This window comes from Homo sapiens, chromosome 10 (genome assembly GCF_000001405.40).
Source record: "Homo sapiens chromosome 10, GRCh38.p14 Primary Assembly".
In the NCBI taxonomy this organism is placed as follows: domain Eukaryota; kingdom Metazoa; phylum Chordata; class Mammalia; order Primates; family Hominidae; genus Homo; species Homo sapiens.
In genome coordinates, this window is record NC_000010.11 from 67,061,794 (window position 1) to 67,075,447 (window position 13,654).

General features: G+C 36.1%; 2 protein-coding genes across 9 annotated transcripts in view; one reads left to right on the top strand and one right to left on the bottom strand.

Moving 5' to 3' along the window:
- Positions 1-13,654, bottom strand: part of CTNNA3 (catenin alpha 3) — a 1,851,072-nt gene that overhangs the window by 1,149,271 nt on the left and 688,147 nt on the right. The window lies entirely within an intron of this gene.
- LRRTM3 (leucine rich repeat transmembrane neuronal 3) overlaps positions 1-13,654 on the top strand; it is a 175,516-nt gene that overhangs the window by 135,758 nt on the left and 26,104 nt on the right. The window lies entirely within an intron of this gene.

Genomic DNA, 13,654 nt, shown 5'->3' on the forward strand with positions numbered 1-13,654 from the left:
TTCATTACAAAACAAATTCCTCATTGGCAGATAAGCAGATGAGAGGGAGAATATTTAACATTACTGATAAAGAATCAAGTTATGTTCTAGATTCATGCAGAGTTTTATAGAATTGGTGCAAAGTATTAGAAAATTTATAAGAAAGCTTATTTACTGTAAAAAAAATCAATCTTAGGAAATAGCCACCCACACATTTTTCAACCTACTTCCCCAAAACCATAGTATAACCCTTAGAAAGAACATTGAAGAACAGATAGGAAGGGGAGGTAATAATATCTTTAAGAACTCACTAATATGAACCACTTTATATATATATACATTATCTCTTAGGATCATATAACAAAGTTTGAGGCAGGTGGATGATATTTGTATCCCCATTTTATAGATAAGAACGTTAAAACCCACAGAGAGTAAATTGTTTAAAGTCACTCAAGTACTAAACCTTACTCAGTGTGATCAAAAGCCCATATTCTTTATTGTAACTTATAGCATATAAGCTCCTATAAGGAAAATCACTTACTAAAAATGTCTTCTCTTCTGTACATGCCAGCAGTGCTATTCCTCAAAGCAATAATCTGCATAGTTTTAAAATTAGTGGTGCTAAATGTCAGCGATGACTCATGCTTTAGCATTATCTCTTAAGTATGCAGGTGATAAACTTTAAAAATTAAGTACATTCATTGTATTTCAATATTTCTCTAGCCATTCTTTTTGGTTGAAAGTGTGTGTGTGTCTGTGTGTCTGCGTGTAGATATGGGGCATTAAGGCAGGCAAACTTAGAACACAAAATATAAAAATTGGGTGGGGAAACATCTGGATGACCTCAATATTTACCTAACATTCTTCTTTGCAAATGTTCTGAATTGTCTCATCAATTCTGCATCATCTCTGCCCCCTTATACACTTTTCCCTGCATTGCCTGGAAGCTACACTCCCAGAATTTCTTACCAGCATGGTTCCAAATTTGATTCTGCTAATGAGGTACACTTGCAAAAGATTTGGAAGGCAGATGAGAAAGAAAAATTAATTTTCCTCCAACAACAGCTGGAAGGCAGGTGTCAGACCTGAAGTTTGTGTGGGCTTCTGAAAATCACCAACTTCAGTGCCCAGGTAGCCAAGATCAGCAGCAATTTCCTGCAGTTTTTTTAGCTCTCTCATATGCTGAGAGTTAATCGTTTTGTTTTTTTTTCTGATCGTTGTCTTTTAGGCTTTCCAGTGCTATGTAAGCACCTAATTTCCTAAAGTTAATTACTTCTGACTTGAAATATTAAGTGTGATTTCTATTTTCCTAACCAAACCCTGACCGATGCAGTATGTCCAATAAGAACTCATTATCAGACTACCAGGAAAACATATTTTAACACAGGCTTACAAGAAAAACAGTTACCAAGTATGGATGCTCAAGACAGCCTTAAAGCAATGCCTAGTAAGAAGTGCTTTATAATAACTCTGATGCAAGATCACATGTCCAATTTTTAAAAGATGTATTAGTTCACATTTGTTGCATTAAATGATTTTGGGGAACAACATAGCCTGAGATAGGACAAAACTGAGAATCAAACTAGATAAAGCTGAATGTGATAAAAATATATGCCTTTAAAAAGTTAGGGGTCTCAATCAGGAGTTAAATTCATTAAAGAAAAGGTTATGAGTACTCCAAGTTCCAACAGTGAGGCAGGGTCAAGAGTTCACTCCAGCTGGCACGAACAGGCAGGTAATAGAGGACCTACCAGGTTTAAATGGGGAGGTTATCACTGTCAGATATGAAGTGGCTCCAATGAAAGGTTGGGACCAGTGAATATCTGCCTTAGTTTTAGATAATGCATATGACATGGCTTTACCCACTGACCAGTGCTCTTTCGAGAATAAATACTTAGACACCTAATACGTATGAAGTCACACAGATAATTGGCATGAGCCAAATGAGGGTTACTTGTACTCTATATAAACTCTTACATACTCTCTTATCAGTAGAAATTTCTATTGAGAGGTGGCTTGGAGAAGATCTCTAAGTTGCTGAATCCCACAAAGACTTTAAAAAGGTAGAAAATTCTAAAAGGATGATGCTAGCAATCAATCAAATACTCTGGCCTCCTCTAGAAGGAAACTGATTTGATATGTTTATGGGTGCATTTACCTTCTGCACACACACTCGTCAGCTAATCAACACAACAAAAGTAACACAGTCAGTTGGATGGAATTTTAGAGTCATCTCCCTCTATGCACGTGTGCTTTGGCAAAATCAGGTACAATATACCTGACGCTTCAGCTTTTCACTTAATAGTGCACTTATTTCTAGTTAGCCCTTGAGTCATCTTCCCAGATGTGTTAGCCTATCAACTTGTTTTTTTCATGAATATGATAACTACTTATCTTTCATCTTACATCATTAGAACATTTGAATTGTTAAAATTCCACATATTTCAATATGATGGTGTCCTGTAATCTCTGAAGTCTTGGGTTACTGAGTCTGCTGTGTGTCTGAAGCTACACTATGTATTAGCATTCTTGTTAGGTTTAATTTCATTTTCTACAATGATCCATCCCTTGAAGCTCCACAAAAAATATGCAGAGCATATTTATTGCTAGTACTAGTGTAACCGAAATTACCAAAATCTATAGAATTTTCATAAATTTATGTATTTTAGAATAAATTATTATAAAAAGAATTAAAGGATGTTTAAGTTCACAATAAATTTTACATCATCTATAGACACTGAATTATTAGTCAGCAAGCTTTCTCTATAACATTTATAATTAGAACCAAATAATTTTGACTCTTCCCCTTAGTCATCATTTGTGTTTTAATTTCTGTCCATGTCAATAAGGTTATTCACAGAAGGCAAAGAAAAAATATTTTTTAAGGGTTTGTTTTGCTAAGTTACATGGGGAGTCAGAAATTCAGTTAAGATGAACTGTGTGAGGTATTAATTGAAATTTAAGTGTATAATATTCTTGAGTTAGGTATGGAAGATGACAGTAATTTCAATCTCACTTTTACTTCACATACATTAGATGTGGTAACTTCTTTTCAGTCAGAGGGACAGATGAATTCTCTAGGAAATTTATATGTAAGTATTTGCAGGTACCTTTAAGCTAGTTCTGAGGAGAAAAAAGTTATATGAGGCAAGAAGAACTTTCAATAAAGAAAATGCATGTAACTGCCCAGACCCTCCTTGGAGTTATAAAAGAGCCATATAATTTCCACAGCTTCCATATACCACCAACACTTATGGTCCTACATAGCAAGTCCCATAAAGCCTCAGTAGACATGTGACATCCCGAAAACAGAGCAATGCCCATGATCCTATGACATGAGGTAAGAAATTCAAGGCACCATGGTTCCCTCTGACACCTGATAAACTGTATGTATTTATTTTTTCCTAGAAAAAAAGGGTATTTGACACATATCGGGAGACACAGTTTCAAATCCCACGTTGACCATACACATGCTGTATGGCCTTGGGCAACTCCTTTGAGTCTCTGTTTCATCATTTAAAAACCAAGGTTAATAATTCCTATCTTCACAGAGTTGTGATAACAATAAAAATATATTATGAAAATGAGGAGGCTTTATAATTAATAAAGGTATAAGGGCATTGATTATTTTCTCAACCCTTTACATAAATTAGTAGATTATTCTAATCTTGTGACAGAGAAAATAAAATAAATATTGAAAAGTATTATGACAGAAACTAGCTAGCTTCCCACCACATCTGTTCCATCTTCTTCCTGGGCCCACAGGAAGTATAAGCTTCCCACTCTCCTTTACAGTTAGAAATGGCAATATGACTGCATTCTAACATGAAGGAAGTGGTGGGATATTTCCAGTCTTAGCCAATAAAATTCTCCAGTGCCTGGTCCTCCATGCCCTTTCCCCAAGCATGAGCCACGGGAAGAGAACTCCAAGGTCCTAGATAAAAAACTAAGCCACACGATAAAGGAGGCATATATGTGAATGACCAAATGGAAAGCCTCTTACTGACCAGGAACACCAGTTTTGAATTTCACATGTGCAAGTTATGCTAAACCAGTGAGATTTTGGGGTTTGTCTTTGACATAATTCAGTAGGACCTCAACTAAAAGAGGGATATAGACAAGTTAAGTGTGAAAAGGAAATACCACCCTCAATCAGGCTGCCATTCAAAAAAAAAAAATATGCCACCAAGTATACAGATGTCAACTATGATTGTCATATTTTGACAAAATATTATTAGAAATAATAATTGCTCATTTTAGAGAACTGATGATCTATGAGGTTATTTAGGGTCTGTGTGAAACTTTTAGTTCTCTCAATCATCTGGGGATCATGAGGGAGCTGAGATGAGATCTAACTTTCTCAATACCATCACCAGTGCTCGTTTCCCTATAGCACACTGCTGTGCCCACTGAAGTCACTGGCTTTTTTTTTTTTTTTTTGAGACAGTCTTGCTCCATCGCCCAGGCTAGAGTGCAGTGGCACCATCTCAGCTCACTGCAACCTCCGCCTCCCGGGTTCAAGAGATTCTCCTGCCTCAGCCTCCCAAGTAACTGGGACTACAGGTGTGCGCCACCACATCAAGCTAATTTTTGTAATTTTAGTAGAGACAGGGTTGCACCATGTTGGCCAGGATGATCTCGATCTCTTGACCTCGTGATCCGCCTGCCTTGGCCTCCCAAAGTGCTAGAATTGTAGGTGTGAACCACCGCACCTGGCCAAGTCCCTTGCTTTTTAAGATACAGTTAGTCATGCAGTTCTTGACAAAAAAAAAAAAAAAAGGTACATACACACCAACCATTACAGAAGCCAAAATATCAAGTCTAGACTGACAACCTCTGCAGCTACACTGAAACCCCACATCACTAAATAATAAAAAATCCTAATGTGACTTTCTCATCTTGAATAATTGTTAAACAAATATTATCCCTCTTCCTTTCTGCCTTCTACTCTTTATATTCTTCATTTTGGAAAGTTTTGTTTATGAACTAAAATATTCGATATTATATTTAGTACTTAGACACATCTCTTCTAGCTTACCATCTAGCAGAAGGAAATGTAAATAGTGATGTTATATTAAAAATCTGCCTTTAATTTAATTTTAAAATGAAGGGTAATGGTAAATTAATATGGAAGTTTGGACATGAGCAATATTTATTTGGCTGAATAACAAACCCTCTTTAAAGTGAATCCTGTCTCTTAATTTAACAGAGTGAAATTTATGTTTTTATAGGCAATTATGTGTCAATTCAGAGAATCTCAGATTTAAAAGTGGCAACCACTTCTGAATGAAAATGCTTTGAGTATATTTGTGTGATCTGGATATATTTTTCCCAGAAAGTCATTATGTATTCATAAATGTGAATAAAAACCACATATGACATAAGCATGTCATATAATAAATCTTAGCAAACTATATGGAGAAATATACCACAGAAGTGAAACAATTTTTAAGTATGTGTGTATATTTATATATTTGTCTGTTCGTATTAGAATCATTTTATGACAAATGGAATAATTCAGTAACCACTTTAATACTGCATGTTTAATATTTATTGAGCAATAAACCATATACTAAGCAAAAAGTTACTAACCCTCCCCCACCAAAAATGATTTGCTCGTATTCACTTTTTCCCTTATCTAATGCTGCAAAGATAATTACTTTGTCCCTATAATAACATTTCCACAATTCATTTCAGGACCAGTGATTAGTCCACAAAGTTTGGCAGGTTTCAGATCAGAAATATGTGCATAAAAATGCTGACTATTTGAAAGATAAGTAAATAAATTAAGATAATAATTTAGACTCATGTTCCCCAAGCTTATCTAATAAAAAGAATCTCCTAGCTTTTTCCTTAGAGTACATCCTAGGTAACAGCTAAGAGTCAGTATTATTAACAAGCTCTTAGGTGATTCAAAATAAGAAACTGGAAAACATAGATTCAGACTAAGCTCAATTATCCTATTCATTCATTTATGCAGTCATTCATTCATTATTTTATTCATTCAATCTGGGCACACTATGTGCTGGATACAACAGGATAAATAAGACATACTCTCAGTCTCATGAATAAATGCAATGAAATATGACAAACGCTTGGCTGAAAGTATGTACAGGGTCCATTGGCAACACAAAGGAAGGAGGTGTCAATTCAATCTGGCAGGTTGGGTAAAGGTTTGTCCTGGCTTCACAGGGAAACCCACATTTAAACCAAGTGTCAAATTAGTAGGTAATCAATCACCAAGTGAAGAATTAAAGAACATCCTAGTAAGAGAAATAAATGCCGGGTTCATTGTGCAGAATGTATCAGCTGAGTATCAAATTAGAAGACAAATCTTTTTGGAAACTATTTAGAGAAATAATGAGAGCTAAACTAAGCTGAGTCAGTGGAAAATAGAAGAGAAGGGGGGAAGGATATATAATATTAGAAAAGAAGGTGGATTGGACCTGGGAAGTGACTGGATGTGGAAAGAGGAAAGGGAGGGATTGGAGAGTCCAAAATAGCTCCAAGGCTGCATAAAACACATATAGATGGTGACACTATTTTCAGGTAAAGGGAATAATAAAAGATGATAAGGTTTGGGGGAAAGGTAGGAATTCAGTCTTGCATGTGTTACGTTGGGGGACATTCGATGGATCTGTCTGTTAAGTAGTTGAATACGTAAGACTAGAACCCTGGAGAGTTCTGAGTTTAGAGACACAGATTTGAAACTTAACAACAGGTGAATAGTGAGTGAGGTCTTAAAGTGGTTAAAATCACACAAAGAATTTTATAGTGTGAGAAGCAGGTCAAGAACAGAACTTTGGACAGTTCTTATATTTTAGTAATTATCAGAGAAAAAAAGACAAGAAGAAAATGAGAGTGACATCAGAAAAGCTGAGGGGAGAGAGTTTTAATAAAATGAGTTATCAACAGCAAATGACCCAAATATGTTAGAAAAAGACTAAAATAATCCATCAGATTTGTTCCTAGAGTGGTCAGTGATTAAGAAGTGGTATGAGTTTGGACCAGGCATTGTGGCTTACGCCTGTAATCCCAGCACTTTGGGAGGCTGAGGCAGGAAGATCACCTGAGGTCAGGAGTTCAAGACCAGCCTGGCCAACATGGTGAAACCCTGTCTCTACTAAAAATACAGAAATTAGCTGGGCCTGGTGGCAGGTACCTGTAATCCCAGCTACTCAGGAGGCTGAGGCAGGAGAATCACTTGAACTTGGGAGGTACAGGTTGCAGCTCAGATCACCACTGAACTCCACTCTGGGCAACAGAGCAAGACAGGAAAAAAAATATATATATGTAAAAATATATATGAAAGAAACAGAAAAAGAAAAAGAAGAAGACAAAAGAAGTGGCATGAGTTTAAGAGGAAATGGGAGGTAAACTGGCAACAGTGAAAGTAGGCTATAGTCTCAAACTTGATTAGTAAAGAAAAAAGAAAAATATGCAGATGAATGATCAAAGTATACCCTTTTTTAAAAAAATTAGAGAATCTCAGAATTAAAAAGAGTTTGGATAATCATCTAGTGCATTTCTTTTACCCCAATGCAGAAATGCCTTCCAAAGTCTCCCTTACATGTAATCATCCAACTTCTTTATTTGAATATTTCCAAGAATAGGAAGCTTATTAACTCAAAAAACGCTCATTGTAATTAACTTGTTTTTGAAGTATAAGATTTTATATATATTATATGTATACATATCATGATGGTGAATATTCATAAACTGAATACATCTATGTAAGCAATATCTAAACTAAGAAACAGATATTACAAGGTGTACAGCAGCCCGCCCCACCCCACCCCACCCCACCCCACCCAGTCCCTGCCCAGAGTAAACACTATCCTGACCTAAATACATAGATTAGTTCTGTCTGTTTTTGAAATGTCTATAAGTAGAATCACTCAGTATATACTCTGTTGTGTCTGAATGTTGTGTCTCACTCAACATTATGTTTATAAGATTTACTCATTGTTATACATGGCTGATATTCATTCACTCTCACAACTGTATACTTCTACTGTATGAATATTCAAATTTCTTTTTACCTAAGGACCCATTGATGAGCATTTCTGTTTTGGCACTATTACAAAAAGGGCTGTTTGAACACTTTTGTACATCTTTTGGTTAACATGTGTACATATTTCTCCTGCATGTATATCTAGAAGTAGAATTACTGGGTCATGGGATATGCATTGTAGATGCCCTCAAAATTTTTCCAAAGATGTTTCCATTTATACACCCACTAGCAGACCATGAGAACTTCCATTGCTCTACATCGTTGACCAACACATATTTTCTGCCTTTTTCATTTTAGTCATTCTCGTCAGTGTGTAGTATTATCACATTTTGACTTAATTTGCATTAGTATAATGATTGTTGAAGTTAAGTTCTTTTTCACACATATATATATTGCAATTTGGATATCCTCTTATGTGAAGTGTCTGTTCAAGACTTTTACTCACTTTTTTATTGGATTGTCTTTTGTCTTTATCTTTTTTATTTGCAGGAGTTCTTATGTAATCTGAATGAGTCATTTGTCAGATGTGTGTATTAAGAATATCTTCTCCCACTCTGTGACTGTCTTTTCATTCTCTTAATGGTATGTTTTGATGAACAAAAGTTCTTAGTTTTAATATAAACCAATCTCTCTCTATATATATATTTTTTATGTTTGTGTCCCGATTAAGAAATCCTTGTGGCGGGGAGCAGTGTCTCGTGCCTGTAATCTCAGCACTTTGGGAGGCCAGGGCAGGCAGATAACAAGGTCCGGAGATCGAGACCATCTTGGCCAACATGGTGAAACCCCATCTCTAGTAAAATACAGAAAATTAGCTGGGCATGGTGGCGTGTGCCTGTCTTCCCAGCTGCTTGGGAGGCTGAGGCAGGGGAATCGCTTGAACCCGGGAGGCGGAGGTTGCAGGGAGCTGAGGTCACGCCACTGCACTCCAGCCTGGCAACAGAGCAAGACCCCATCTCAAAAAAAAAAGAAAGAAAAGAAAAAAAAGAAATCCTTGCCTACTCCAGGGTTACAAAGATTTTTCTGCTATGTTTTCCTCTATTTCCTACCTAGTTGCCCTGTTTACTATATTCTTTTTTTCTCATAACTTTTCTCTGCATTAATCAAACATCCATTTATTTATTTGTAGTAACATGCTAACTACACTTTCTTTTACTGTTCTTTTAGTGTTTACCTGAGGAATTGCAACATGCATTCTTGAGTTGGTTCTATATAATTATTACTTTTAGTATCTTCCCAGAATTGCTAAACCTAGAAGTTTTAAACTTCATTTATCACTTCTTACTTTTGCAATGGTATTGATGTCACATATTATTCTGTATGTATTTTAAATTTCACAAAGCATCACTCTTATTGTTCAATATAGTTCACATTCATTTGTATAAAATGCATTTACACTCTCCAGCATTCTTCAATCACTCAGATATTTCCAAGGTTCTATTTAGGGTCATTCTTCTACTTACAACAATTCCCTTTGGTATTCCTTTTAGTGCAGGCCTCATACTGATTAATTCTCTGTTTTTGTTTTGTTTTTGTATTTTGGGTTTTTTTTTTTTTGGTCAGAAAATGTCTTTGTTTCGATATTTTCAATAGATATATTTGTATTAGTTACAGAATTGTAGGTTTGCAGTTATCTTCTCTCAACACTACATTTCATTTATCTTCTCACTTCTTTTGTTAAGTCAATTCTCAATCTTGTACTTAGAGCTCTTTAAAGTTTTTTTTGTTTGTTTGTTTCTTTGACTTCATTTAAGATCTTGTTATCTGGTTTTCAGCAGTTTTACTGAAATGTCCCTATGAATGTTTTTATTGTATTTATCCTGCTTCAATTTTGCTAAACTTCTTGAACTTGTGTGTGGCGGTCTTTCCAAAATTTTAGAAAATTCTTGGCCTTAACTCCTCAAAAAATGCATCTCCCCGTGTATTCTCTCCTCTCCTTTGGGACTTCATTTTTACTTATGTTTAAAAAAATTAGCATAACACAAATACCATTTACACAATATCTAATTTTTCCCTTTTTCTTTCTATGCTTTGAGTATTTTTTCAGTTCACTAAACTTGTATTATACTGTGCCCAATTTATCATATGTCCCTAGCAAACTCTTAATTTCAGATAGAGGTAGGACTTTGTTTTGTTTCAGTTCAAGAATATGTGTTTGATTATTATTTTTATTAATTATTTTTTTGAGACACAGTCTCATTCTGTTGCTCAGGTTGGAGTGCTGTGCACGATCTCAGCGCACTGCAATCTCTGCCTCCCAGGTTCACGTGATTCTCATGCTTCAGCCTCTTGAGTAGCTGGGATTACAGACATGCACCACCAAGCCCAGCTAATTTTTTGTATTTTTAGTAGAGATGGCTTTTTGCTATGTTGGTCAGGCTGGTCTCGAACTGCTGGCCTCAAGTGATCCTTCCACCTTAGCCTCCCAAAGTGCTGGGATTATAGGCATAAGCCACCATGCCCAACCTGTTTGATTATTTTCTATGTGTCCCACTTCTCCAATCGAATTTTCTTTTCCTTCACTTTTTTTAGTCCACCTTTTAAGTCCTTGCCAGTTACCTGTAATATCTGGATCATCTATGTATCTGCTTCAAATGTATACTTTTTCTTTTGATTATTTGTCATGTAGTTTCACCTATTTGTATGTCTACGTACTCTTTTATTGTATGATAGAAATTAGTTAAAGAAGAACTACAGAATTCCAAACGATATCTTCCACCAGAGCAGGTTTCTCACTTTCGATATTAAGCAGAAGAGACAGAGGCTGGACGTCTCAAGCCAACCAAGGACTCAGCTGGGTTGGGGCTAGATTGCAGTTTTAGTGGAATGTAGTCTTCCCCTTGTTTATCTATACTTGTAAGCCATGACACTCCCTGGATTTTGATTGAAAGCCTGGTATATCTTTATCTTCTGGGCCCTGAAAAAGTTCTCTTTCAGAAGTTTTCAGCTCATTTCTTTATCTTAGGGCCCTAACAGCTACAAAATTTGGTAAATATCTTCAAAAAGAGTTCAATGGTATGTTTGAGTTTGGTGTCTCCAGGCTGCCAAGTCCTTTTGTTTGTTTATTTCCTACTAAAATTCTACTGCCTTTTGGAAGCTCTGCCTTTGGCTTCCTATGCAGCCTCAAAACACAGCAAACATCCCTTGGAGAAAGATGTGTGTTTTAGATCCCTCAAGTCTCCAGTTTGTCCCAGCCTTGCAGTATCACTAAAAGTTTTGCTAACTTTTCTTACTCCCCAAAGACACCTTCCGCCTAGGCCCAGTCCAGTCCTCAGACCACACTCAGAATAAGCAAATGCCCTCAGGGAAATAAATACATGCATGCCTTGGAATAATTTTCCCTTCTGAAATTTTAGTTCTTTTAGTCCTTGTTGCTTCCACAGCTCTAGGAACTATATCTAATTTATTTGGTTTGTACAGAAAAACTGGTCCTATGACCTACTTGAAAATCAAAGCTATTACATTTTAATAGCTCTGATTAGTTTTTAAAACTCTATTGACACAAAATTGACTCTCCCATATTTTCCATTAATTGGCTAAATTTTGAAACCTGGAACAGTATTTTACCTTCAACCATATTGCTTTTTTTCATCTATTTAAGATTATCTCCCTTAAATATGTTTTTCCTTCAGTCTAAATATCACCAAATTCTAAACTTCTATTTTATGTTTAAATCCTTTGCCATCCTGATCATCATCTTCAGTAAAAACTCTCGTTTGTCAACATCCCTCTTAAACAAGTATCAACAAAAATCCTAGATGCTATGATTAAGCCCAATAAAGAGAAAAAATGAGAGAGTCATATTAAAAAAACAGAGATACAAAATAAAGAGGAAAAAAACGAGAGAATCACACACAAAAAATAATAGAGATACAAAAGAAGTTATCTAGTGAGGTGTTTTTAAAAGCACATGAACAAAAGATCAAAAAAAATCAAAGACAGATAAACAAAATAGAGATCAAAAAAATGAAATGAAAGCTTCCAAAATTCTCATGAAAAATGCTAAGCATAATGAAAAGAACATTTTGATCCTTTCTAAGTCTTTGTTTCACAATTACCTGAATTCATTCTCACAATTCAATCACATTTTACTGATGAGTTAACTTGGAAAATGTTAAGTAACTTTTGACCAATAACAAAATGTAACTAATAGCAGAGTTTCTAGGTTTGGATACAGATATTTATTTCGCACAGCTACACTCAGATCTACTGAATTATCAAAATAATGCCAAGTAGCCATTTTAACTCTTTTTTTTTTTTTTTTTTTTGAGACAGAGTCTGGCTCTGTCTCCAGGCTGGAGTGCAGTGGCGCCATCTTGGCTCATTACAACCTCCTCCCGAGTTGAAGAGATCCTCCTTCCTCAGCCTCCCAAGTAGCTGGGACTATAGGCACGTGCCACCATGACCAGCTAATTTTTGTACTTTTAATAGAAACGGGGTTTCACCATTTGGCCAGGATGGTCTTGATCTCTCGACCTCATGATCTGCCCGCCTTGGCCCCCCAAAGTGCTGAGATTACAGGCATGAGCCACCGTGCCCAGCTGCCACTTTAACTCTTTTTTTTTTTTTTTTTTTTTTTTTTGAGACGGAGTCTCGCTCTGTCGCCCAGGCTGAAGTGCAGTGGCACGATCTCGGCTCACTGCAAGCTCCACCTCCCGGGTTCACGCCATTCTCCTGCCTCAGCCTCCCGAGTAGCTGGGACTACAGGCGCCCACCACCACGCCCGGCTAATTTTCTGTATTTTTAGTAGAGATGGGGTTTCACCATGTTAGCCAGGATGGTCTCGATCTCCTGACCTTGTAATCCACCCACCTCGGGTTCCCAAAGTGCTGGGATTACAGGCGTGAGCCACCGCGCCCAACCCACTTTAACTCTTTTCATACAAATTTATCTAGAGAAAATGTCCTTCTAAGAATAGACATTTCTATTATTCAAAGAGAAATCTGTGTAGATTCTGTCTTATGCCAGCTAAAGACATGTATATAAAACCACAAAATACATTCTTAATATTATGAACATAACATAATTTATTTATGTATGTATGTATATTATGAATTATAATTCATTTATGTATGAAAAGCACACATTTGAGAATCAAGCTACCTATTAAAATGGTCTATATTTAACACACAGACATCATGCTGAAAATGGGTAGCTCTCTACCTCCCTTTTGCATATTAAGCAATATCTGTGTAATTGATTCTCTCTCTTTTGGTACTTAAAGATGCATTTGGCACTTGAGAAAGCTATCTTCAGCTTCTAACAGTAAGTTTGTTTCCTAGAGCTGTTTGGTACCTGAACAATTCAGATACATTTGTAGTTACTAAGGCTCAGAGAAGAGGGATACAAATTTGGTTGTTTTGTGTTGCTTCTAAGGATTTCTGCACACACACACACACACACTCACACACTACTATTTAAAATGCTCTTAACTGAACAATTTTAAAGAAAAATATAATGGTCAGAAATCTTAAATTAAAAAAAAATCAAAGCCTACTTTATCCATAAGTAGGTAAAGCAATGGTTACATTTAAAACTGTATTAACAAGAACAAGTATTTCATTCCACCATTAGGAAAAGAGTTACCCTGAGAGAGATGCCAGTTTTACTTAAATTCATTGTAAGAGGTAAATGAGAGCAGAGTTGACTTGGGTCTGGGCA